Genomic DNA, 24,755 nt, shown 5'->3' with positions numbered 1-24,755 from the left:
GAAAGCCTTCTACTGGAAGAAGATGCCAGCTAGGACTTGCATGGCTAGAGAGAAGTCAATGCCTGGCTTCCAAGCTTCCAAGCACAGGCTGACTCTCTTGCTAGGGGCTAACGGAGCCAGGAACTTTGAGTTGAAGCCAATCCTCATTCACCATTCTGAAAATCCCAGGGCCTTTAAGAATGATGCTCAATCTACTCTGCCTGTGCTCCGTTAAGTGGACAACAAAGCCTGGTGACAGCACATCTGTTGACAGCATGGTTTGCTGAATATTTAAAGCCCACTGTTGAGACCTACTGCTCAGAAAGATTCTTTTCAAAATATTGCTGCTAGTTGACAATGCTCCTGGCCACCCAAGAATTAGAAGTGGAGCCTGAAGATGGCACTGAATTGCTACAGTCTCACAGTAAAATGTAACCAGTGAGGAGTTGCTTCTTATGGATGAGCAAAAAAGTGGTTTCTTGGGATGCAATCTGCTCCTGGTGAAGATGCCGTGGACATTACTGAAATGACAACAAAGGATTGAGACTATTTCATACACTGAGTTGACCAAGCCGTGGCAGAGTTTGAGAGGATGACTCCAGTTTTGAAAGAAGTTCCACTGTGGGTAAAGTGCACCAAACAGCACCACGTGCTACAGAGAACTCTTTTGTGAAAAGAAAAGTCTATCAATGTGGCAAATGTCATTGTTGTCTTATTTTAAGAAACTGCCACAGCCGCCCCAGCCTTCTGCCACCACCACCCTGGTCAGCCCCAGCGGCCATCCACATCGCAGTGAGACCCTCCACCCGCAGGAAGATTATGACTTGCTGAAGTCACTAGCATTTTTTTTTTTTTTGGCAATAAAGGACCAGTGGCTGTAAGGTCCGCGGAGACCTCAGGTCATGGTCATGGCCTCCTCTGCCACGCCCGTCTCGGTTTGCACTTTAGCTGAAGCCCTCACCTGTGCTGTGACTTGAGCTGTGCTCCATGTGGGGTGCTTTGCGGGTGTGCGTGCAAGTGTGATGTGAGCATGTGAGTGCGTGTGTGTGTGCAGTGTGCAATGCAAGAGTGTATGTGTGTGGTGTGAGTGCATGTAAGTGCCTCAATGTGCACGTGTGCAGTGCAAGTGTGTGTGTGGTGCGTGTGTGTGATGTAAATGCATGAGTGTGTGTGCACATGTGTGCAATGCATGTGTGTGTGGTGTGTGAGTGTACGTGTGTGAGTGTAAGTGTATGAGTGCATGTGTGTGTGATGTGTGTGTGCACACTGAAGAGGTGGTACAGGTTCAGTTCCAGACCACTGCAATAAAGTGAGTCACACAAATTTTTTGGTTTTCCAGTGCACATGATATGGTTTGGCTCTGTGTCCTCACCCAAATCTCATCTCAGATTGTAATCCCATAATCCCCATGTGTTGAGGGCAGGACCTGGTGGGAGGTGACTGGATCAGGGGGCGGCTTCCCTCATGCTGTTCTCATGATACTGAATGAGTTCTCACGAGACTGAATGTTTTATAGGAGGCTCTTCCCCCTTCACTCTTCCCTTCTCTCTCCTGCCTCCTTGTGAAGAAGGTGCTGCTTCTCCTTCCCCTTCTGCCAGGACTGTAAGTTTCCTGAGGCCTCCCCTTCACCTTCCACCATGACTGTAAGTTTCCTGAGGCCTCCCAGTCATGTGGAACTGTGAGTCAATTAAACTTCTTTCCTTTATAAATTACCCACTCTTGGGTATTTCTTTATGGCAGTGTGAAAATGGACTAATACAGCACATAAAAGTTGTATTTATACTCTACTGTAGTTGACTAAGTGTGCAATAGCATTATGTCTAAAGAAACAACGTACGTACCTTAACTTAAAAATCCTGTGGGCACCGTGACCTGAGGCCTCCATGGACCGTACATCCGCTGGTCCTCAAGGGGTTTTACTCTCTAATGAAAAGGCAGTTTGGGAAATGAGGCAGGAAGAGGCTGGTGGGGCCTCAGTTCCTGAAGATGGTGAGACCAGAGAATCATCTGGAAGCCGGTGCCAGTGCTGATTGGGGACGGTGGTGTCAGTTTGGGGACACGTCCAGCTCCCCGCAGGGCTCACCTGGCTGGCCTGACCAGCTGGCTCATTCCCTCCCAGCCTCCACTGTCAAACACAGCTTTGCCAGTCAACTGGCCGCAGCCCCAGCTGCTGTCCCAGACAGGGGGACGACCAGCACGTGGGCAAAGGGAGGGGCAGGGATGATTGCTGTCTGGCCACTGGCTGGAGCTGGCAACTAGGGTGACAGGGGAGCTGGGCCTGGCAGGGACTCCTCCCAGGATCCCAGAATGAAGTCACCAGATTGCAAGCTGCCTAGCAGCCAGTCTCGTGTCTCTAAGTCACTGCCGGCTGCCCTTGTTATTTCAACCACTGAGGTCACGTGTGCAGAACCCAGAAATACATGGGACTCAGCTGAGGTCAGGGACACAGTCAATCCCCTTCTCCAGGCCCATTCCAGATGCTGAGCTGACAACTGGCAGCCTCCTCTTGGCCGTCCACGGCCTGAGTGCCAGGGGTAGGACCAGGGAGCACCAGCCCTGAGCAGGTGCCCGGGCTAGTGAGGGCCTGATCCTGGGGCCTCCTGGCCCAGGCAGTCTCCCGGGCTCTGCCCTGCCCACGTCCACAGTGCACCGGACCTCCCAGGGGGCAGGTCTGGTGTGGCCACGCTGAGCGCTTGGCCTCTGTGGGGCTCCAGGCTGGATGCACCGTCAGTAGGCTGTTCCGTGGGTGTTTGCTGGGCACCCCGGGCACTCACTCAGGCCAGGCTTTCGGCGCGTGCCTGCTCTGTGTGCACAGGTCTCGGGTCTCGGGCCCAGGCAGTGGGCAGGGGTGGGCTCCGGGTGCTGCCTCTGTGCCTTGGACTGTGTCCCTCTGTCCACTCACAGACAGGTGGCCAGCAGTCCTCGCTCTGGACCAGATAGCATGTGGCTCACAGCTCCTGCCGGGCACTGACCCCTCACTCGGGGTGCTCTGATACTGGCGACCAGCTGGCTCATACCTTCCCCTTCCCCCTTCTGCCTGTGCCTCCATGAGAGCACCTGGGACTGAGCCCTGGACCCCACTACAGAGAGCGTGACCGACCGAGGCCACCTTCCACAAGCTGCTCCAGTGACTGGATGGGGACAGCGATGGTGAGAAGCGTCCCCATCGCCCTTTACCCTCCCCGCCCTCTGTCCCGAACTGGGGGTCAGACCTGCATCTGTGCTGACACTATCCTGGCGTTCCTCATTCGCTTGGGTTCCTGGAGGAGTCTCTGCTCGAGGCGCCTGCCCACCCCTTGCCTGACTCGGAACTGACCAGAGCTGGGGGGTCAGATGAGGAGGAGAGGATGGAGGAAAGAAAGAGGCGCGGCCAAAAGGAAGGAAGCCTGGGGCTCCATCGGCTCCACCTGGCACACAGGTGGCATCCCCACCACTGAGGAAGGGGGGCCCTCCTCGGGCTGCCCGTTTCTGGTTGAGTGTCTGCGTCTCTTCATCGTGAGAGGCCCTGCCACACCTGGGGGGAGAGGACGCCTGTGGGTGGGTTGGGTGTGCTGGGGGGCAGCTGGTGGGCGGCCTTGGGTGTGGTCTGGGTGGGAGAAGGGTTTGGGCAGGGCCCAGGGACGCCCCCCAGACAGGGACTGAGGGAGCTGGAGTAGCCGTGGTGGCCCTGAAGGGACCGTGGGTGGTGGCGGGGGGTGGGGGTGGGGCGCTGACAAAGCCTGGACCACGTAGGAGCTAAGAGCTTTGGGATTGAGGGACAGTGAAGGCGAAGGCACAGGCCCTGCGGGGAGGGCGGCTGGGAGCTTTGGGGTCCCCCACAGGCCGAGGGACTGTTATAGGCGAAGGCACAGGCCCTGCGGATCAGCTCGGTTCCCAGGAGCATTTTCACCACATTTCGTTACTGTGTCTTTCACCCAATCCACACTCGCCCCGTATGGCCTCGCACTGGGCAGCGGCCCAGGGTAGGGGGGCAAGGGGCCTGGGCTCCACGAGGAATGCCCCTGCAGAGCGGCGTGGGTGGGCCAGGCATGCGTCTAGCCCTGGGCTTGGCCTGAAGCCGATGGAAGGTGGGGAGGGGAGAGGAGGAATGAGGGGGAGGGAGAGGGGAATGGGGAGGGAAAAGAGGGAGGGAGAAGGGGAGAGGTGAGCGGGAGGGATAAGTTAGGGAGAGGGTCTTGCTGGGTGGATGCTGGAGCAAAGCGCCAGCTCTCCCCTGGGGCAGGGTCTCTGGAAGGCAGGGAGGGGTTGGGGGCTGTAGTACACCAGGACCTGGCAGTGGTGTCTCAGGGCTGGGTCTGATGTGTGGCCCTGGAGGCTCAGAGGACAAGGGAACGTGGCCCTCTTGAGGACAGTGAGGGTTGGAGGCTTGCAGCCGGTGTGTCAAGGGTCCCAGCAGTGGGTGGTTCAAGGGGCCCGGGAGGGGTGACAACGCCATCGGCCGACCCTCGGCTGTGCTGAGTCCCCACAGTGCCGGCGGGGTCCTGGCCTCCCTCCTGGGGAGCCACCTGTGATTACTCATTTCCCACCAAGTCTTCAAGGAGGTGGCTGGCTAGCACTGCGCGCCCTTCTGCCAAGCATGGGCCAGGCCTGGGGGCTGCCCTTCTCGGGGTACCCCCGATCTACCATGTCCTTTGGGGTCAGGCCTCTAGGCTGAGTCCAGCTGTGGCCTCGTGAGGACTGTTCTTTGGCCAGATCCAGGGCCCGGCTTTCACAGGTGCAGAGGCCTTGTCGGTTTCCCTTTACTCTGGGGTTCCCCGCTCCCTGTGCCTGCCCGTGCCTGCTGCTGACCGCTGGGCAGAGCCTGTGTGCCATTGCCCTGCTGGAGGCGATGTGGACGCCCCCAGCCTGCGCCACCCCTGCCTAGGGGAAGGCCGAGGGGTGAGGAGGGCTCAGGGGCTGAGGGTGGACTCGGGACAGCCCCACTCAGGCGATGGGTGAGGCCCAGGTGCACCTCATCCATCGCCTGAGGCCCAGGTGCACCGCTGAAATCTGACCACTGGGCCCTTCCGGGACCCTCTCGATGAAGCCCCCCAGGCTCCTAGCCACCCCTCCACTGGAAGCACGTCCCCAGGACAGTGGCGCTGCCCCACCAACCAGTCGCACTCATGGAGTTGCGGCCCCTGGGGGCCTTCGATGCACTGAGGTCATTTTTCACAGGAAAGACGGTGGATTCCAGGTGTGGACCCGAGGCTGGCACTGCCCAGGGAGCAGAAGGAGCCAAGGAAACCGCAGCCTCAGGGAGCTGCCTGGATTGGTGGTGCAGGGGCGCAGGGGCGGGCGGAGCAGGACCGGGCAGCAGACAGCTCAGGAGACGGCCCCGGCACCTTCACTGCCCTGGGACACGGGACCCATCTGTGAGATCGTGATCCCTGGCCCGCTTAGCATTCTTTGAGTTAACCGTGACTTCTGAATTCCGAGAAATGAGGTTGAGAATTCCTGCTAGGATCCAAGAGCTATTTATGTCCATTTGCCTAAGTATCTCCGGAAAGTCACCAGTGAGCCTCGGAAGTGCATCCTGGGCTCCTCGGCATTCGATAACCTCTGAGGGTGGATGCAGGAGGACGCCGCGGGTGTCGGGAGGAAGGTAGGCTGGCGAGACAGGAGTCAGGTGGAGAAGGACAGGGCCACTGTCCTGGGCACCAGCTGTACCCTGCAGACGGCACCACAATGCCCAGCTCCAGACATGAGCTGAGGACGCTTCGTGACTGACAAGATGCTTTGAATGCCATAGCACCGCCGCTCTGGTCCGCTTGCAGTGGGTGCCCAAGGATGGGTCTGCAGGATCACTTGTGCTGTGAAGAGCACCTATGTTCCAGGGCGAGGTCTGTGTCCCAGGACGTCAGGCCACATGTGGCCTCGAGGTACCATCCCTGGACCCAGGCATCAGTGGCGGTGTGTCCCGCTCTGCCCTTGAAGCTCCAGTGCCCTCTGCTCCTGCTCAGGGGAGCTAAGTGTGCGGGCACTGGGCTTGGTGCTGTTCCCAGGGGTGGAGAAGGGGTTGTACCACGTGGCACCTCCTCCCTTCCTCAGCCAGCGCTGCTGTCAGTAGACAACAGGACCGGGCAGGAGACGGAGGTACTCATGGTGTCTAGAGTCAGGGGACCGCCAAAGTGTGAGATGCCAGGTCCTGGTGGCCAGGCCAGGGCTCTGGGTAAGTCCCCGTGCCTGTGGGCCCTTGGTTTCCCCATCTGTAAAGCTCACGGCTGGGCTAGAGGGCCAAGTGGGAGGCCCAGGCCCTTCCTGGCCTGACGTCCGAGGGTCCACAGGGACATGGGGAAGGGGCGGGAGGCTGCTTCACAGATCTCAGAGCTGCTCCCTTCCAGGGTTTTCCCCGCACAAAGCTCCCTCGGCTCCCTCCCACCCACCCCCATCCTTGCCCTCTCCCAGTGAACCCACATTCTTGGAAGTGGCAGGCGCCAGGTCGCTTGCTCGCCTGTGACCTCTGCCCGCCCTTAGGCAGCTCATCCTGAGGACTGGCCTCAGGCACGCATTCCAGATGGAACAGGAGGGAGTGGACACCTCCTACTGGCCATTCCCAGGGCCCCAGTGCCCGAGGGCCCCAGCCCAGTGGGGTCCAAGCCAGGCCCAGTGCGTGGCCACGGGCAGGTCCCAAGCCCAAGGCAGTCTCCAGAGTTTGCCCTGTGGCCTAGAGAGGGTTCCCAGCTGAAGGAGCCCCAGGAAATCACTCATCCATGGGGTGGGGTCAAGCATCCCTCAGCGCCTGGCCAGCACTGGGGAGGCTGCGAGGCAGGTGAAGGCGGGAGCAGGCATCCTCGGCAAGCCGGGCCGTGACACGGAATCTAAGTGCCGCGGTGCCATTGGACTTCCAAACCGAAACACGGCCCACAGACCCCAAATAACTGACACAGCTTACAGACCTCAAATAACTGACGCGGCCCGCAGACCTCAAATAACCGACGCGGCTTACAGACCTCAAATAACCGACGCGGCTTACAGACCTCAAATAACCGACGTGGCCCACAGACCTCAAATAACCGACACAGCTTACAGACCCCAAATAACCGAACCGACACGGCCCGCAGACCCCAAATAACTGACACAGCTTATAGACCCCAAATAACTGACGCGGCCCGCAGACCCCAAATAACTGACACAGCTTATAGACCCCAAATAACTGACGCGGCCCGCAGACCCCAAATAACCGACACAGCCCGCAGACCTCAAATAACCGACACAGCTTACAGACCCCAAATAACCGAACTGACGCGGCCCGCAGACCCCAAATAACCGACGTGGCCCGCAGACCTCCAATAACCAACACAGCTTACAGACCCCAAATAACCGAACCAACACGGCCCGCAGACCCCAAATAACCGACATAGCTTACAGACCCCAAATAACCGACGCGGCCCGCAGACCTCAAATAACCGACGCGGCCCGCAGACCCCAAATAACTGACGTGGCCCGTAGACCCCAAATAACCGACATGGCCCACAGACCCCAAATAACGGACGCGGCCCGTAGACCCCAAATAACCGACGTAGCCCGTAGACTCCAAATAACCGACACGGCCCGCAGACCTCAAATAACCGATGCGGCCCACAGACCTCAAATAACCGACGCGGCCTGCAGACCCCAAATAACCAACACTGCTTACAGACCCCAAATAACCGACGCGGCCCGCAGACCCCAAATAACTGACGTGGCCCGTAGACCCCAAATAACCGACATGGCCCGCAGACCCCAAATAACGGACGCGGCCCGTAGACCCCAAATAACCGACACGGCCCGCAGACCCCAAATAACTGACGCAGCCTGCAGACCCCAGATAACCGATGCGGCCCGCAGACCCCAAATAACTGACACAGCTTGGTGCACTTGATCAGAAAGGGTGGCCGTACTGCAAAATTAAGATGTCATTATTCATGGCTAAATGGGGAATCAGCCCCCGAGCACCTATGAAATCACAAAAGGTCTGCTTGTTTCTGGAGTGTCTTCCTTTTGGCTGGCAAAGGGAGCAGAAAATGTGGAAAGTTCTGTCTACTTAGAGGCCCTTCCTCAAAGTGGGCTGGCCAGCAGGATTAGGAGGGAGATGCCCATGGCAGGCAGGTGGTCTGGAGGCATTAGGAGGGAGGTGTCTGTGGTGGGCAGGTGGTCTGGAGGCATTAGGAGGGAGGTGCCTGTGGTGGGCAGGTGGTCTGGAGGGATTAGGAGGGAGGTGCTCACGGCGGGCAGGTGGTCTGGAGGCATTAGGAGGGAGGTGTCTGTGGTGGGCAGGTGGTCTGGAGGGATTAGGAGGGAGGTGCCCGTGGTGGGCAGGTGGTCTGGTGGGATTAGGAGGGAGGTGCCTGTGGTGGGCAGGTGGTCTGGAGGGATTAGGAGGGAGGTGTCTGTGGCGGGCAGGTTGTCTGGTGGGATTAGGAGGGAGGTGCCCGTGGCGGGCAGGTGGTCTGGTGGGATTAGGAGGGATGGTTCCCGGGGGGGCAGGTTGTCTGGTGGGATTAGGAGGGAGGTGTCCGTGGTGGGCAGGTTGTCTGGTGGGATTAGGAGGGAGGTGTCCGTGGTGGGCAGGTTGTCTGGTGGGATTAGGAGGGAGGTGTCCGTGGTGGGCAGGTTGTCTGGTGGGATTAGGAGGGAGGTGTCTGTGGTGGGCAGGTTGTCTGGTGGGATTAGGAGGGAGGTGTCCGTGGTGGGCAGGTTGTCTGGTGGGATTAGGAGGGAGGTGTCCGTGGTGGGCAGGTTGTCTGGTGGGATTAGGAGGGAGGTGTCCGTGGTGGGCAGGTTGTCTGGTGGGATTAGGAGGGAGGTGCCTGTGGTGGGCAGGTGGTCTGGTGGGATTAGGAGGGATGGTTCCCGGGGGGGCAGGTTGTCTGGTGGGATTAGGAGGGAGGTGCCTGTGGTGGGCAGGTTGTCTGGTGGGATTAGGAGGGAGGTGCCTGTGGTGGGCAGGTTGTCTGGAGGGATTAGGAGGGAGGTGCTCACGGCGGGCAGGTGGTCTGGTGGGATTAGGAGAGGAGGCACCCCTGGCGGGCAGGTGGCCAGCAGGATTAGGAGGGGAGCTGCCCATGGCAGGCAGGTGGCTTGGCAGGATTAGGAGGGCAGGTGTCCCTGGTGGGCAGGTGGCCCAGCCTACCCAGAACCTCCCCAGTTCAGCCACATTTCCACTTAACAGATTCAGAAACAACCCTTCAGTGGGCTGTGCTCACATTGGAGCAGGTGCTTGGGGACCTGGGATCACTGAATTATCCAGCAGCACCTGTGTCCAGGGCCCCATGCAGACATCACTCTGCGGCAAAGGGATTGGGCAGGAAACTAAAGACAAGGAAGGGGAAGAGGCTGAATAGAGGTCAAAACAGAATTCCGGAAAATAAATCTGGATTGTGAGATATGGGTATAGAGGAAGCAGGCTAATTGTTCAGACATGGGCATCAGACCACTGGCTTTTGTTTTGTGTACAAAGGGTCAGCTCAGGGTGCATAATATTTGCCCTTATTCTTTTTCTTCCAGTATTTCTTTATATTTCTTACCGACTCTCTCTCTCTCAGGCTTTCTTTCTTCTCACTCATATAGTTAGAAATGGCAGATCCAAGGAGCTTCTCTCTGAACATTCGACCCTGTGCAGCTCAGTGTTGCTCTGCAGAAGGGCCAGCTCTGGGGCGTGGCAGGTGCCTGGGTCAGTGGCTTTCAGCACATTCCCCACGCACTGCCTGATAAGGCTGCTCTGTGTGCAGGGACGCAGGATGTGGCACTACAGCAGCCTGGGCTGTTTGCATGAACCTTATGACTGACGGCAGCACCTGCCTTCCCGCCAGAGTGTGAGGCTCCGTAGCTGTGGCCAGCGGAGCTGGCAGAGCACACAGGAGTGACCTGTCCCAGCAAGAATGCGGAGCTTGAGCCTGAGCGGCCTCCTGGGCAGAAGTGCGGGGCACACTTTGCTGCATTTTGCTGCTGGAGGAAGGAGCAGGTTCCGTGTGGATCCTCCCCACCTGCCGTCTCCCAGGACAGGAGAACTTTGGAGACGGCACCTGGAGTCTTGGACCCTGCTGGATGTCTTTTCCCTCGTTGGCCCTGTGGTGTATCCTTCTGTGGAGACAAACCACACCCAGGAACGCCGCCGCTGCTGAGTCCTGAGTGTATCTTCCAGCCCCTCCCTGAGTGTATCTTTCTGTGGAGACAAACCACACCCAGGAATGCCACCACTGCTGAGTCCCGAGTCCTTCCAGCCCCGCCCTGAGTGTGCAGAGGCCGTGGGGCCTGACACTGCATGACGGGCAGTGTGCTGCTCACCCAAGCCTCAGAACAAAGTATGAAACTGATTGCTTTCCATCGACACATCCAGCCCAGCTGAGCCTGGAGGCCGATTTCACACATATTTACTACATCCCTGCCGTTTGTCTCTTTCTGGTTTCAACATTTAATCAGGAGGGGCTGGATGCCAAGCCTGGAGAATATGAACCAGGAGGGACCTTCCCGTCATTGTCATCGAGGGGAGGAGAGGTCAGGGGACAGTTGCTCTGCAATAGGAGGTGGGCACCGGGCAGAAGGTCGGGGTCTCACTTAAGAGGAAGCTGAGGTGCAGGGAGGAGGCTGGAATGGAGACGGGAGGTAACCATCCCACTGGAGGGACCGACCCTCAGTGCTCAAAGGGCAGGTGAGGCCAGGAAGGGGCAGACAGGAAGGCTCTGAGCCACAGCTGAGCAGCAATGGGGGGTCTGGGGAGTGGTCGTGGGGGCAAGCAGTCAGGCTTCCAGCTGGGGAGAAAAAGTATCCAGGTGGTGTGGAGGTGGCAGAGCAGGAGGCTGAGAAAGGGACCTGGAGGCCCGCTGGGGTCAGGGCAGTCCACAGAGCAGGAAAGATGAGGTCCAGGGAGCGGGGGCTGGGAGAGGAGGAGGGACAGGAAAGGTGGGGAAGACTCCTGGGCCTGGAGGTGTGGCCTGATCTGGGAAAGGGGGTAGAGAGTTTGGCAAAATGTCTAGCACCCAGACACGAATGCTGGGAGAGCAGTGCTGCTGCTGAGCTGCAAAGACATTGTGGGGGTGGAGCTGGTTCCATGGAGGATATGAGGGGCAGGGGTGGGGCCGGGGCCATGGAGGACATGAGGGGAGGGGTGGAGCTGGGGCCAAGTGGAGCTGGTTCCTTTGTGGGACTGATGGACGGGTGGAGCTGGGGCTAAGTGGAGCTGGGACCGTGGAGGACATGAGGGGACGGGTGGAGCTGGGGCCGAGTGGAGCTGGGACCATGGAGGACATGAGGGGAGGGGTGGAGCTGGGGCCAAGTGGAGCTGGGACCATGGAGGACATGAGGGGAGGGGTGGAGCTGGGGCCGAGTGGAGCTGGGACCATGGAGGATGTGAGGGGAGGGGTGGAGCTGGGGCCACATGCACCCAGTATTGAGCTGTCTTGGGATATCTGAGGGAGGCATCAGGAGGCTGCGGCAAATGTGTGTAGTGGTCAGGACTGGTGGGCAGACTGCAAATGGTGTTTTGTGGACTGGCAACAGAGTCTTGCAACAGAGTCTAGTGTCTAGAATCTTGAGAGTATTGGGAGGTGACAGTGGCCACCATGTTGGTCAAAGGTGAGGGTGCCTGAATCCAAGGAGGCACCACTGTGAGGGGTTGGGTGGCTGAGCCGGTGCCTCTGTGGGCCTGGGGGGTCCTGTGTCCAACACCTCTGTCTCCTCCCTGCCAATCCTCTTCCTCCTTCCCTTCTGGTGTCCCTCCCTGCTTCCTTCTCCACGGAGTCACCCTAGCCCCATTTAGCAGTGCCAAGAGTCCATGGACTCCTCGGTTGAGGCTGCACCTGTCCTTCTCCTAAACTCTCCCCTACAAGGCTGAGGGTGACACTTCTGTTGGCCAAAGGCTCACGCCAGGTTCTGTGTGGTTTCTCACCCACAGGAGGCCCCGAGGCAGAGCTCTGGGGCCAGGGACCAGATTCACACACAACCTACAACCATGCCTGCACTGAAGACACCAGCAGGGCAGCAGGTCCTGCACACTCCCAGGTGTGCTCGGGGAGGTCTGTGTGATGCCTGGTCCAGGCCTAACCTTGAGGCACTCCCTGGCCCCTCGTGCCCACATCCACTCCACTCCTCACATGTGGAGAAAGGGAAGAAGGCTGGGCTGGCCAGGGCAGGCCACACAGCAGGATGTGCAGGGTCACCCACTCCCTCACACCCCTCTGCTGTACCCAAATCACAGAAAAGAAATGAAAAAATGTTTTTCATCATTGTAATGAAGATCTCCTTGCAGAGACAAGCCACCCAAAACCACACTGCATTGATCAAGTGGGGACTCCCTTCATTCAGCTTGACACTAAAAGTTGCAGCACAATTTTAGACAGGGTGGTTTTTTCCCTGACTATCTAGAGATCTGTGAGAATTAAACAGCATATTTTAAAACAACCAATGGGCCAGAGAAGAAATCACAAGGAAAAGCAGAAATGACTATGTGGAGATAAATGAAACAAAAAAACCCACGAGACAGCTCAGGGATGCAGGAAAAGCAGCACTCAGAGGAAAATTCATAGCTGTGAACATCCACATAAGAAAAATGAGCTCAAGTCAACCATCTGATTTTATACCACAAGAAACCTGAAAAGAGAAGAGCAAGCTAAATCCAATGCTAACAGAAGAAAGGAAGTAATAAAGACCAGAGCTGAGACAAATAAAATAGACAACAGAAAAATAAAGACCATCAATGAAACTCAAACTGGCTCTTTAAACAGATCAAGAAAATTGGCAAACCTTTAGCTAGACCGACAAAGAAAAAAAAGAGAGACTCATTTTGTATTGGAAGTTGTAGCCAGCACAATTAGGCAAGAAAAAGAAATAAAGCCCTCCAGACTGGAAGGGAAGAAGTAGAATTATCCTTATGTACAGATGGCGTGATAATTATATATACAGGAAATACTAAAGAATTAACAAAACACCAACTAGAGCCAATAAAGGAACTCAGCAAAGCTGCCGGACACAAGGTTGGCACACAGAAATCGGTTGTGTTTTGTTCACAAACAAATAAGCAATCTGAAAGGAAAGTTAAGAAAAGAACCCCATTTATAATAACATCAAAAGAATAAAATCCCTGGGAAAAAAATTCAACCAAGGAGGTGCAAGATGTGTACACTGGAGACAGCAACGCTTTGCTGGAAGAAATTAAAGAGCTAAATAAAAGGAAAGACGTCCTGTGCTCACGAATTGGAAGACGTGGTGCTGTTGAAACGGTGACGCTTCTTAACGTGGCCTTCAGATGCAATCGTGACTCCAGTGGCGCTCAGAGCGGGCGTGGCCCCAGATAAACACTGCCCAGGAGCCCGCGATGGGCACTCTGAGCCGCGGGGGTGAGACTGTGTGCAGAGACATGACCTTCCGCTTTATCTGTGAGGGTCTTTGGCCTCGATGGCCTTCCCCCAGGAAGCATGCTGCACACTCTGTGTGACGTCCATCCACTCGCCCAGGCCTCACCTCGACAGGATCTGGGATGGGTGTCTGCTGCCGTACCCCCGATGCGGGGAAGCCAGCATCTCATGGCTGGTGCCCTTCCTGGGGGCTCTCCAGTCCCCTGCGCCCTGAGGCCAGGCTGTGCCCATCCTGGGCACCCTCCTTGGCCCAGTGCTGCTGTGCTGGGGACGCCCACAGGGATGCATGTGGGTGGATGGAGATGACCAGATCCTGGCACAGCAGGGGCTGAAGAGAGCAGAGGGACCCATCCTGGTGGGGTTGCTGGGCAGGGTCCCAGGCAGGACCACAGCTTGGGCCTGGAAAAGGGTCTCTAAGGGTTCCCAGGAGCTGGAGCCTGCGTGTGACTCATTCGGTCAGCAGGGGCCTCACCGGATGCTGCTGGAATTTGGAGAAAACGCTGTGTGAATGGAGGGGAGTGATGGGCCTGGGACTGAAGCAGGGAAGCTCCAGCCAGCAGGGGCTCCGGCGCCCCCCAGATCCAAAGCGCCCCCCTCAGGCTCCAGTCCTACCGCTCTTGCCCTGGTGTGGGCTCCAGGCCACACACCCATCAGGGCGGGGATCCCCATCAGGCCACTGCCCCTCCACAGACCCAGGGCGGTTCTGAGGGCCTGGCTGTGCAGTGCCTCCTAACCGGGGTGGGAGAGGGTGCCCCCAAATCTCTCCACACAGGCCCACATGCATGGGGGGCTCATGCTGGGACTAAGGGGAGATGAGACCAGGTGAATCCCCATCTAGAAAGTGGCAGAATCCGGTGCAGAGTCCAGGCTTGGGTTGTCCTAGTAACAAGGGCCACACTCCTGCTTGAGGGGAGAGGTGGATGGCGGCTGTGACCTTGGCCCCTGCAGCTGGAACGTTCGGGCCGCAGAGGCTGCTGGCTTCTCGCTGCTGGGCCTCCCTGGACTGGCCCCTCTGTTCCTTGACCTTGCCCTGACCAGAGGGCAGGTTCCTGCCCACGGAGTCCAATCCCTGCAGAGTTGGGGGTCTTGGGGGGTGTCCGCCCCCTCTGCTGACCAGGCTGTCTTGTGGAGAGGGGAGGTCCCCAGCCGAGGTGGGGCATCCCCCCTGCTCACACAGAAAGGGGCTCAGGCGTGTGAAATGCTCACGGACACCAGCGCAGCAACATTTTACATGGCTGTATCTTCCCTGGACTCTGAAGGTTTGGTTTCCAGGAAGCAGAGCAGAGGTGGCCGTTGCATGTGGGCCAACCCCAGCTGTGGGCCTTCAGGATGGCGAGGGCTTTCTCAAAACGTCGGCTGCTCAGGAGCGTCCTGAGTTCACGCAGCTGCTTCTCGGGGACAGCCGTTTTCTTGTTATTTCTTGTTAAACACTTGCAGAGCTGGGCCGGGGACGGGGGCTTACACACGGCTCCTTCATGCACGGCGGCTGAGACTCGGCCACTGCCCATGTGAGTGGGAGCTGGCTGCGCTGCCCTGTCCCGGCGGAGGGTCCGGCAGGAAGTGGTGTGGGCATTCTTTTCAGAGGGCAGGATGGGAACGGCCAGAGAGGGTGTGGGCGACGTGCTGCCTGGAGAGGCGTCTGTGCCCTTCCCTCCCAGACCGCAAGATTCTTGGAACTCAGGAACTAAATTTCTGCTGGCGTGGATAACGTGTGGGCCATGTAGAGTTCTGGGAATGGGGCTGGGGATGCAGGGCCGCTGGGAGGGGCTTCTCTGATGAGGAGGTTTCCTGGTGGAGGAGGGGGAGGTGAGCGGAGGCTCTGGACCAGGGCCTGGAGGGCAGACCGTGAGCACCTTCGGGGTGTGGGGAGAAAGGCCCCGCTCCAGCCTGCTGGCCTCCCTGAGGAGGTGCAGCCCAGTCTCCCAGCACAGTCCCCCAGCAGCCCCAGGCCCAGCCACGGAGAGGGCAGGCCCTCGGCAAAGCCCAAGCTAACACCGCCCACCACTCCTGAGTCTGCACCTGCCTCAGGGGTGCACAGGCTGAGCCCTGGCCAGACACCGGGGGGGCGGCTGGGGAGGCGGAGCGACGAGGCAGGCCAGGAACCAAGGAACACAGCTGGAACACGGCACTGTGTGGACACCCCCTGCCACAATGTCAAGACCTTTCTTACACAGGAAGGGGGCCCAGAGGGCAGGGGGTGGAGGATGGGGGTCTCCAGGCAGCCCCAGGAGGAAGCAGTCGCCTCGGCACCATGGCCGCAAGCAGGGCCTTGCCGTCGCTGGGTCCGCCGGTCAGTGCCGAGCCCCGGGCCCGCTGGCCCCCCAGCACCTGGACAGACGCACGGCTCTGCGGCGCGCATTGGCAGACACCGGATGGAAGAGCGCCGGGGTGTTCCACGGCTGCCAGCCTGGTCTTCAAAACCAGGCAGCTCTTCCATCAATTACAGATGAGGAAACGCATTTTGAGAGTGATTTATACACCCAGGGGACCTGGGGCCTCCCTGGCAGGAGAGGCAAGATAATGAAACCCTACCTCCCCAGCCCCCATCAGCGGCAGAAGCACCACCCAGCCCTGGTTGCTAAGTGGCAACGTGTCTGCGTGGATCTGAAAATCAAACAGTGTCAGAAAATGCTCCGGGTGCAAATGAGTGCTGTTTGCTGGAACAATACAGGACGTGGCTGTATCTGCCTTGAAATGAATTCTTCAGACCGTTTTGGACGGGACAGTGCCGGACAGCCCTTCCGAGGAAGCAGGTGTCCGTGCGCCAGCACCGGGTCACGTCTCCCATGCAACCGGATGAATGTCCTCCAAGACCCCCTGGGACCGCTGGCCACAGAGCAGCCTCTGGCGGGGGTGCCTCACACAGGGTGCTACTCTGGGCAGGCATTCAGGGAGCCCCAGGGAACCCCAGAGGATGGGCCAGGTAGGCACCCAAGGCCTCGAGGCCACGCTCCGAGCCTGGCTTTCGCCAACTGTGTCTGGGATTCAGTCTCAGTTCAGAAAAGGAAACACCAAAGGCGCTGGAGCTCCCTGGCGAGCTCCGGCCTGGTCACGGCCGCGGCCAGACCCCCGTCTAAAGCAGCTGTCCCAGCTCCCTGACCCGGCTTTTTCCTGCTGGTGCAGAGGAGCTCCTGCCACCTCCCAGACGTGGACGTCTGGGTTCCCCTGGCTCTGGACTGAGGGAGAGAGGGAGGGAGGTCTGTGCCATCATGGGCTGTGTCCGCCCCCCTAGGCAGGCCCATGGTTCCCACAAAGGCCACGGTGCATTCCCAGCCTGAGGATGGATGGGGACCAACAGCTGGTGCAGGCCGCCGGGGCGGCGGGGGAGGGCGAGTGTCCCATCCCAGCAACCGGGCCTCACACAGCAGAGACACTGGGGGACCACACCTGCCTCCTGGCCTGAAGGGCCCAGGCCAGGGCCACCTTGAAATGAGTGCCTGAGTGTGTGAGGTTTTCCACCCGCTGACAGTCAGCTGCCTGATGTTACGGAGACCATGAAGCCGAAGCCAAAACCACCAGAGCCCGTTTCCCCAGTGTGGCTGCCCTGCGGGGCATAGAGGGTCTCACGCCAGCAACTCGGTAGCACAGGAGGCTTGTCCAGCCCCCAACACACGCCAGCCCCAGACCAGCCCCAGAGCAGCCGGGCTCCAGCTGCAGATGTGGAGGGCAGGGCACCGCCTGCCTCAGACTCCACCCGGGACCCTCCACCCTCAGGGCCCCCTCTGCCCCACCCCCAGTGACCGGCGCCCCTCCCCTCCGGCGCCCCTCCCCTCCAGCACACCACCCTACCCTCAGATCCGTCGCCCGCTCTCCACCCTCCCTGGGAACACTGACCCTCCCCCATGGACCGGATCATCCTCAGGCCCCTGGTGGCCTGGTGAGAAGGTTTGCCAAGACCCAGAAGGTGCATGCAGCGTCCAGGGCCCAGGTGGCGGGGCCTCGCGCCCATGTGCACTCAGTACCTGAGCAGGGGCTGCCTGGGGTACGGTGGCTGGTCTGTGTCCAGGCACAGAGGGGCCTTCTTGGTCACCTGCTTGTAGATGTTCCTGGCGGTCACTCCTATCCACAGCATGGTGGACAGTGTAGAATAGTGCAGCACGATGCCCACCTGTGGGGGAGCAGCGGTCAGCCAGGCCCTTGGCGGGCACCCACCCCCCAGAGCCCAGCAGCCTCGGCCCGGGCTTGCAACTTCAAGAATGAGAACGGCAGGCGGCCAGCAGCGTCTGTATCCCAGGGCAGGCAGCGGCCGCCCCACAGCCGCCCAGAACTCACAGGGAGACGCTGAGCTGCAGAGACCCTTGAGCGGCTCAGCTTTCCTCCCCTTCTGCACAGAGACGGGAGCAGGGAGTCTGTGGGGACCCATGGGCCTGTGCACTCACGCCCCTCTGCATGCACAACCCGCTGTGGTCCCTGTGGCCCAGGCACGGACACTGTGAGCTGCAGACCAACGTCCCCTGAGCTCAGACCTGGATAGGTGTCCACCAAGGGAGAGGAGGTGAAGTCCTCAGTGGGGTCACGCCAGGATGCTCTTACTGTGGGTAGGATGAGCCCCCCACGGGGACGGCATTCGTGTGGCCCTGCAGGTCGCCGTTCCTCATTCACCAGGATGCTCTTACTGTGGGTGGGATGAGCCCCCCACGGGGCCGGCATTCGTGTGGCCCTGCAGGTCGCCGTTCCTCATTGCTATGGAAACTTCCTGCGTTTGCTTATTACGAGGGCCACACTGCTACCTTTGGAGTAATAACCTGACATTTTGAAATGACAGGTAAAATACTGCTATAATTGGAAAGGACATAAATGTTTAAGGAATACAGAGATTCGCCGCATAAAGCTAACGTCGCACCATTATGATGATTTATCAGATCCAGAGCTCAATTTTCACTGATGAGGAGGCTCTGCAGTAATTGATGAGAATATTGTGGGGTGGGCTGGAAAGATCGGAGGGCTGCGTTTGCAGTTTCAGGTGAGATCCCTGTGCGCCGCTGGGGGCAGGAGACACAGCAGCCCCCGGGGGGCTCCACCCTTTCCCCCGGCCTGGCCACTGAGTGTGGGGTCGTGTCCCATCCCAGTGCCTAGGCCTCATGCAGCCTGGTGGAGACAGGGAGGCCTGGAAACCATGGGGCACCGTGTCGAGGAGTAGGGCAGAGGCAGCCCCCACAGCCCGGCCTCGGGTTCTTTCTTTTCAGGAAGCAGCCGTGGGGCTGTCAGTGTCACTGCCCGGGGCGCTGAGGAGGGTGGCAGAGCTGAGCCTCACCCGTGCCATGTGCATTTGGGGGTCACAAGAAGGTGTACGTGGCAGAGCTCTGAGTCCTGGACACCGACTTCAGGCTGGACAGATGGAGAGGCTGCAGGGAAGCCACCAGCGTCCCACGGTGCTGCACGGCTGCCCCACCCCGCCGGACCCAGGGCCAGCGCCTGTCTCTGTTGAATGTGTCACTTAGCATGCGAATGGGGCTCACGGCCATCTCTTTGTTGCCATAGCAACAGTCCGTCCTCTCCAGCCATCCAGAGCCTGGGACCAGGTTTCACTCAGTGCTGAGCTGTGGCCCCGGTGGGCGGGGCAGGCGGGCAGGAAGGTGGGTGTGACAAGGGCGGGGCAGGCGGGAAGGCGGATCAGCCACCACTGGCCCATATGCAGGCAGGTTGGGCTCCAAGTCTAGTTTTTACTAGACCCTCAGGTCTCCTTCCTCCAGCCGGTAGTGGCTGAATTCTCCTCCTTACCCGGAGGCGGGAATGCGGAACTGGCCTGGCCTCAGCGTTAGATCAATGAGAGGGCTTCTGTTCGCCTCGCAGAGCACGGGGAGCAGACAGTTCATCGGGGAGCTCGGAGAACGTCGCCTTGTGGGCTCCCCGAGTGGCTCTGGAGCTGCAGCCACTGCGGCCCCTGCCTCCGCTTCCCGAGCCTGGCGTCACGCGTCCGGCAGGCACCTCCCACCACCTGCCGTGGGAAAATGCTCCCACGGTTCATTTTCCACACTTGCGTCCTGTTCTGGAACGCGGCTTCACAGTGAGACCATGTGGGTTTGTCTCTGGCAGTGCCCTAGTGCCCACAGCATGGCCTGGCACCTTGCAGGCCCTCAGCACATTTGCTGAGTGAGCGAGTGAGTGGATCGTGCTCCCTGGGAGATCAGGACAGCATCTGGAGATAGGCCACAATCTTTTCTGCTCATTTCCTCCTGATGGCTGTTGCCTTAACAAGATCTCCTCCAAGATTGCAACCCTCTGGAACCTTCCAGACCTGCCTGCTGCAGCCCCAACACCCCAGCATCCGCCCCGAGCTGTCACCGCAGGCCTGGGCCCCAGGAGCTCCGTCCAGGCAAGCAGTGGCAGGTGTTCCCGAAGGCGCGGGCGGGGTTTGCTGAAGGCCCTCGGGGGGCCTCACCCGCGGATCCAGCAGGCTTCATCCCAGTGTGGGGCGTACTTGGTGGCAAAGTGCAGACGTGATGGTGACGGCCTCTCGCAGGCACTTACAGGCGGGACGTCAATGGCGTTTCCCGGGCACTTGCTGTGGTTGTTTCCAGCTTACCAGAGGAATGATTAAGGAGGCAGGAGGTACGTCTGACCTTAGCCACCTTCAGGTGCGTGCCAGCGACTCCTCCGCCGGGGCCATGCTGGGCCCAGGCCCAGGCCCAGGCCGGGGGCACGGCCTCCTGGCAGTCTGGCATGAAGTGTGGTCACACAGACATGACGTCTCCTCTGCGTGCCGGACGCCAGGGCCCTGTGTTTGTGTGAGCGCCTGCCCGGCCCGTCCCAGCCTGGCACACGGAAGTGTAGTGCTGGGAAGGAAGGAAGCCCGTGGCCGTGGCAGGCAGGTGTGGGAGCCTGTGGGGGAGTCTGGGGGGTTCTGTGCACTCAGCTCAGATTCTCCCCAGACACCCCTGCATGAGTCTCCACCACTGCTGTCTGCAGGTGCATGTCAGTGCCAGGTACTATGGGAGGGTTCCAGAAACTGCAGGGTGGACCCCTGGCAAGTTGCCCTGCAGTCCGTGGCAGCCCCCTGGCTGTGTCTGGGCCCTGGAGGTGACTGTACTGGGCTGTGTGGCTGCTGAAGTGGGGTGGCCACTGGGACTGGGCTGGGTGTGCGGGGAGGAGCCGCCCCGGAGCTGTGGCTACAGAGGCTCCGGGCAGGTCCTCTTGTTGGCCATGAGCCACAGCCCAAAGTGGAGGAGGACAGGGCTTAGTTTTGATGTAAGGGTCTCCACCATGAGCTCTGCCAGGAACTGAGTGTGATGTATACGTCCCCCCTTTTAAACCAAGGTCAGGCTGGGCCCCCGGATGTGAGGAGCCCTTCTGTGTGTCGTTCTTTTCAATGCTCGGTGCTCTCCAGCTCTCCCTGCAGTGGGGGAGGAGGGTTCCCCGAGTGACATTTCTGTTTGGCTTCCGGGGGTTGGGGGGTCTGTGCAAAGGACGAGCTTGCCCTCCTGGTGACTCAGGCGGCAGCATCTGCAGGTTCCTCCCTGGACCGGAGTGTGTGCCCCTCCTCGAGCTGCCCCCACCACTCTCTCCGGGAGGGGTGGGCTGTGTCTCCCCACCACTTTCTCTGGGAGGGGCGGGCTGTGTCCCCCCAGCACTTTCTCCTGGAGGGGTGGTCTGTGTCCCCCCAGCACTTTCTCCGGGAGGGGCGGGCTGTGTCCCCCCAGCACTTTCTCCGGGAGGGGCGGGCTGTGTCCCCCCAGCACTTTCTCCTGGAGGGGTGGGCTGTGTCCCCCCAACACTTTCTCCGGGAGGGGCGGGCTGTGTCCCCCCAGCACTTTCTCCGGGAGGGGCAGGCTGTGTCCCTGTTCCCGGGCAGTGCACCTTTTGGGGACAGTAAGTGTCAGGTTAGCGCCGGCCTGGAGGGGGCGGTGCAGTGGAATCAACCCTGGGGTCAAACGTGGAGCATGTGGACTTGCATGGCGTGAAGCCGAGACACCGATGTGCCAGGGTCCGACCCTCTTCCCGGGAAATAGCTGAGCAAACGCTGGAATATTATTTAGTAAACAAGACGACGCTCACGCAGTTCCCCTCTGGGAGGAGCCAACGAGGGCGCCCCGGCACTCACCGCCTGGCACAGGATGGGGTACTTGGTGCGATTGATGCCGCCGGCGAACACAGTGAAGGTCAGGGCCGCGTGGAAGCAGAAATTCAGGAGCGTGTGCCGGCCCTTGCGGCTGATGCGGATGGCGCTGTGGGACGGGAAAGGAGGGTTTCACATGAGCAGAGGCTCTGCAGGGGGAGGCGTGGAAGGGAGCCCCCTGGGGCGCAGGCTCTGTCCCCGGGAAGTCCGGGCTCTCCGTGGGGTCAGGGGCAGCTGTCCGAGGACCCGGTCAGGGGAGAGCAGATGGGTCGTCCGAGTCTGCCCTGAGTGACGGCCACTGGAAAGTTCTGCCTTACGTCACCCTGGCACACTGACGCTGGAAGGGGTTTGCAGAAGCCTGAACAACCTAATCCCTTGGCGGATGAAGACACCGAGGCCCTGAGACTCCAGGACTTGGCCACACACTGTCTCAGAGATAGAGGCCGCACCCCCTGGGTCCCAGCATGGGGTGTCCCTCTGAGCAGGTGTCTGGCACATCAGGAAGAGACCGTGATTAGACTGGCTCAGCGTGACCCCGGCTATAGCCTGGGGCTGAGCCGGCCATGCCCTCCTGTGGCTGTGACCCTTTCCATGACCACCACCATGTCTGGGGCCCGACCCGCCCAGGCTGTGGCCAGCACAGGTATGGCTGCATGGTGGCCACTGTGACTCTGGCCATGGCCTCGCCTCATCCTCTCCCCATAATCACAGCCACTCTGGTCTAAATGTATTTTATCTGCCTCCCCCCGAGTTGGTAGGACGGCACTAACCACCAAGCTGATGATATTTGGAAGCGGGGGCCTCTGGGCAGAGCTGTGGTGATGGGATCAGGGACCTTGAGAAAGAGGCCCCCAGAGTGCCTCACCCTCCACATGCAGGGACACAGGCAGGGACACAGGCAGTGGGTGCCGTCTGTGAGCCTGGAGCTGGCCCTCTCCAGACGCACCAGACACAGCGTCATGGGTGCCTTGATCTGGGACCTCGGCCTCCAGAACTGAGAAGTCAGTTTCTCCTGTCGATAAACCATCGAGGCCCCCGTGTTCTGCTGCAGCAGCCCAAACAGACCAAGATGACAGTTTCGGAACCGCCCAAGCCTCTTCCTGTGATCACAGCCTCGTGTGTGCCCGAGTCTCTGATGAGACTGTGGCCCTGGGCGCCTCTAAGCTCTGTCCGTGACCGAGGCGACCTTGGCCTCAGACATAGCCGAACCCCCGCCCATGACTGGCTGTGGGCATGCCCACCCTGACTGCGGCTGGACACCCTCATGTTCTTGGTGCCTCTCCCAGGCTCTGCAGGCCATAGTGACTGCCCGGGGGAACTGAGCTCCTCAGGGTGCCTGGACGGACACCACACCTATTTCTGGAAGAACTTATTTTGCCCAGTTAAGGACACGGGGGATGCCGTGGAGAAGACCCTGACGGAGGCCTGAGTGGACAGGCGCGGCTTCCCTGAGCTCCATCCACCCTTCGGCTGTGTGATGGGCACCAGGCTGCTGAGCGGGTCTGAGCTAGCTGGTGACCTGAGTTGTACCTTCAAGGACTTCTTGCTACATGAGGGGGCAGTGGCATTGCCCTTCAGGGACTTGCCTTTGAAGGTAAAAGCAGGTTTCTTGGGCACAGGGGGCGCCCTTGCCCATGCCAGGCTCACCTCTGGTGCACGATGTAGGTGACGAAGGAGGCCAGGAGGCAGAGCAGCATGACGGCCGTGCACGCGTACACCACGGGGTGCAGGAACTCCCCTGGGTAGCGGGGCAGGGAGAGCACTGTCTTCAGATCCTGAGGATAAAGCAAAGGAGACGTGTGTGACTGGCTGGTGGGTCTGTGTGGGCGGCGCCGTCGCCTGAGCCTACCCTTGGGGCTCGGCTTCCCCTGCAGCCGCTCCAGGCATTTTCGTGTGGGGTCTCAGGGAAGGGGGGCTGCCTGGGGAGGTACGGTCAGGCTGCGTCTGTGGATGCTCAGGGAGTGCACGGGAGGGGCCCCACGTGGCCACGGAGTGCTGTCTGTCCTCGCCCTCCACTGGCTCTGCTGGCCAAAGGCATCCTTGTGTGGCTCTGAGGCTGGCTCCTGGGGCCATGTATCGGCCGACTGATGCCTGCCTCCAGCCTCCTCTCTTCCCGTGGCCTGCGGGTGGCCAGGTGGGATCTGGATGGGCCTTACAGAGAGGCAGGGAAACCATGGGATGGCCCCAGCCCTGCACTGGGAGCCCCACACTCATCGAAACCCTGCTTGTCAACATCTTCCGGGAGGATTCTGTACGAGCTTCTGCGAGAGGTGGAGAAAGAGTGGAGACTGTTCGGCACCAACAGACCTGGACCGGAGGCCGCAAACTCCACCTGCTTCTCGGCCCAAGAAAAGGGTTCAGGGTCAGAGTTCAAAGGGGAATGTGTGTTCTCTGTGGCAGAGTAGACTGGGGGAAAATCGACCCAGCTGGAAAGGCTTGGAGCTGATGGAGCTTCATCTTTTCTTCATCAGGTGAGTGAGGTGAGCTCACCGGGGAAGCACAGAGGGGTGCACAGGCTGGGGAGGGGGCTTCAGGGGCATCAGCCCAGAAACATGCGTGCACAGGCCCAGGAGGGGGCCTCGGGGCACCAGCCTGCACTCAGCTCTGTCTCAGGCTTCCAGCCTCCAGACTGTGGGAAACATGTCTGTGCTTCAGGGCCCCACTGTGTAGGGTTTAGTTATGAACCTCAGGCAGGCGAGCAGGGTGGGTGCCATGTTCCGGTAAGAACCCTGTGGGTGGGTGCCAGCAGGGGTGAGGGCTGCAGCCGCCTGGCCCCTCCCCAGCCCCCTGGTGATCGCTGCACCTGTGCCAGGCTCCAGCCACTCTGACCACGCCATGGATGCTGCCCTGGGCATCGGGGCAGGAGGAGGCAGCCGGCCGGGCCTCTGGGATGGCTCCGGCTGAGTGAGGCGGGAAGTGGAGAGGGACCCTCCTGTGCAGGAAGGGCCATGGGCAGAGGCAGTGTCACCTGTGTCGGGATGCAGGCAGCCAGCGGGCCCGAGAGCTCCTGCTTCCCTCCTGAGGCCACACTTCTTGTCCGTCCAGCCAAGACGAGGCCCTGGCTGGCTAGAGAGTGTCCACCGTGGACAGAGGGTGCTCTGGGGAGCCAAGGGACTGGCTGACAGTCAAAGCCCGAAATAGGGCCCCTGCCCCAGGGTTCGAACAGCACTGGCCAGGCGGGCACCGGAGGGGCCCTGCATCCCGGGACGAGGAGCCTGGACCTGTGCGAGGGCGAAGGCACCTGGGAGAGGAGCGGGCGTCGCTGTGGGGCCGCAGAGCTGGAGTGACAGCAGACACTTTGCTTTCCGGGGAGTGTTTAGAATCTGCCCATTTCTTCCTGGACACCAGGACCCCACAGAGAGACAGCGCCCTGTGGTTCAGGCTTGGCTCTGAGGCCCACCCTGGAC

At 60.0% G+C, this 24,755-nt stretch overlaps 1 protein-coding gene across 4 annotated transcripts in view, besides 8 other annotated features; it reads right to left on the bottom strand.

The window, feature by feature from the left end:
- Window positions 1–24,755, bottom strand: part of ADGRA1 (adhesion G protein-coupled receptor A1) — a 43,752-nt gene that overhangs the window by 11,579 nt on the left and 7,418 nt on the right. The window contains exons 2-5 of one of the 4 annotated variants that reach the window (XM_017016779.2): window positions 22,996–23,123; window positions 21,334–21,457; window positions 17,255–17,400; window positions 12,153–15,080 (exon numbers count right to left, since the gene is read on the bottom strand). In XM_017016779.2, coding sequence (XP_016872268.1) covers window positions 14,495–15,080; window positions 17,255–17,400; window positions 21,334–21,457; window positions 22,996–23,123 — 984 coding nt within the window. In that variant the 3' untranslated portion in view covers window positions 12,153–14,494. Of the gene's footprint in view, window positions 1–12,152; window positions 15,081–17,254; window positions 17,401–17,758; window positions 17,852–21,333; window positions 21,458–22,995; window positions 23,124–24,755 lie in introns of those variants that run through there. The other 3 variants (NM_001083909.3, NM_001291085.2, XM_011540273.1) reach the window with 3 other exon arrangements.
- Window positions 7,722–9,518: a minisatellite, noted in NCBI's record as "CEB36 (D10S473) VNTR, 42 nucleotide repeat".
- Window positions 7,722–9,524: a meiotic recombination region, noted in NCBI's record as "meiotic double-strand break mapped by DNA meiotic recombinase 1 chromatin immunoprecipitation followed by single-stranded DNA enrichment and sequencing in the germ cells of some male individuals with the PRDM9 A/A, PRDM9 A/B and PRDM9 A/C genotypes". NCBI's record gives the evidence for it as "EXISTENCE:chromatin immunoprecipitation-seq evidence [ECO:0000229][PMID:25395542]".
- Window positions 7,809–8,999: a repeat instability region, noted in NCBI's record as "repeat instability region; AluI fragment containing the CEB42 minisatellite". NCBI's record gives the evidence for it as "EXISTENCE:restriction fragment detection evidence [ECO:0001124][PMID:12226793]".
- Window positions 9,318–9,333: a nucleotide motif, noted in NCBI's record as "nucleotide motif; similarity to the predicted 16-mer PRDM9 C binding motif, CCNCNNTNNNCNTNNC".
- Window positions 14,812–15,373: an enhancer, noted in NCBI's record as "H3K27ac-H3K4me1 hESC enhancer chr10:134918228-134918789 (GRCh37/hg19 assembly coordinates)". NCBI's record gives its function as "activates a minimal SCP1, AML or CMV promoter by ChIP-STARR-seq in naive H9 embryonic stem cells {active_cell/tissue: H9 hESC(naive)}" and the evidence as "EXISTENCE:reporter gene assay evidence [ECO:0000049][PMID:30033119]".
- Window positions 15,374–15,936: an enhancer, noted in NCBI's record as "H3K27ac-H3K4me1 hESC enhancer chr10:134917665-134918227 (GRCh37/hg19 assembly coordinates)". NCBI's record gives its function as "activates a minimal SCP1, AML or CMV promoter by ChIP-STARR-seq in naive H9 embryonic stem cells {active_cell/tissue: H9 hESC(naive)}" and the evidence as "EXISTENCE:reporter gene assay evidence [ECO:0000049][PMID:30033119]".
- Window positions 17,177–18,152: an enhancer, noted in NCBI's record as "H3K27ac-H3K4me1 hESC enhancer chr10:134915449-134916424 (GRCh37/hg19 assembly coordinates)". NCBI's record gives its function as "activates a minimal SCP1, AML or CMV promoter by ChIP-STARR-seq in naive H9 embryonic stem cells {active_cell/tissue: H9 hESC(naive)}" and the evidence as "EXISTENCE:reporter gene assay evidence [ECO:0000049][PMID:30033119]".
- Window positions 21,231–21,731: an enhancer, noted in NCBI's record as "H3K4me1 hESC enhancer chr10:134911870-134912370 (GRCh37/hg19 assembly coordinates)". NCBI's record gives its function as "activates a minimal SCP1, AML or CMV promoter by ChIP-STARR-seq in naive H9 embryonic stem cells {active_cell/tissue: H9 hESC(naive)}" and the evidence as "EXISTENCE:reporter gene assay evidence [ECO:0000049][PMID:30033119]".

The sequence above is a fragment of the Homo sapiens genome, chromosome 10 (genome assembly GCF_000001405.40).
Source record: "Homo sapiens chromosome 10, GRCh38.p14 Primary Assembly".
In the NCBI taxonomy this organism is placed as follows: domain Eukaryota; kingdom Metazoa; phylum Chordata; class Mammalia; order Primates; family Hominidae; genus Homo; species Homo sapiens.
This window is presented reverse-complemented; position numbering and strand designations above follow the sequence as displayed.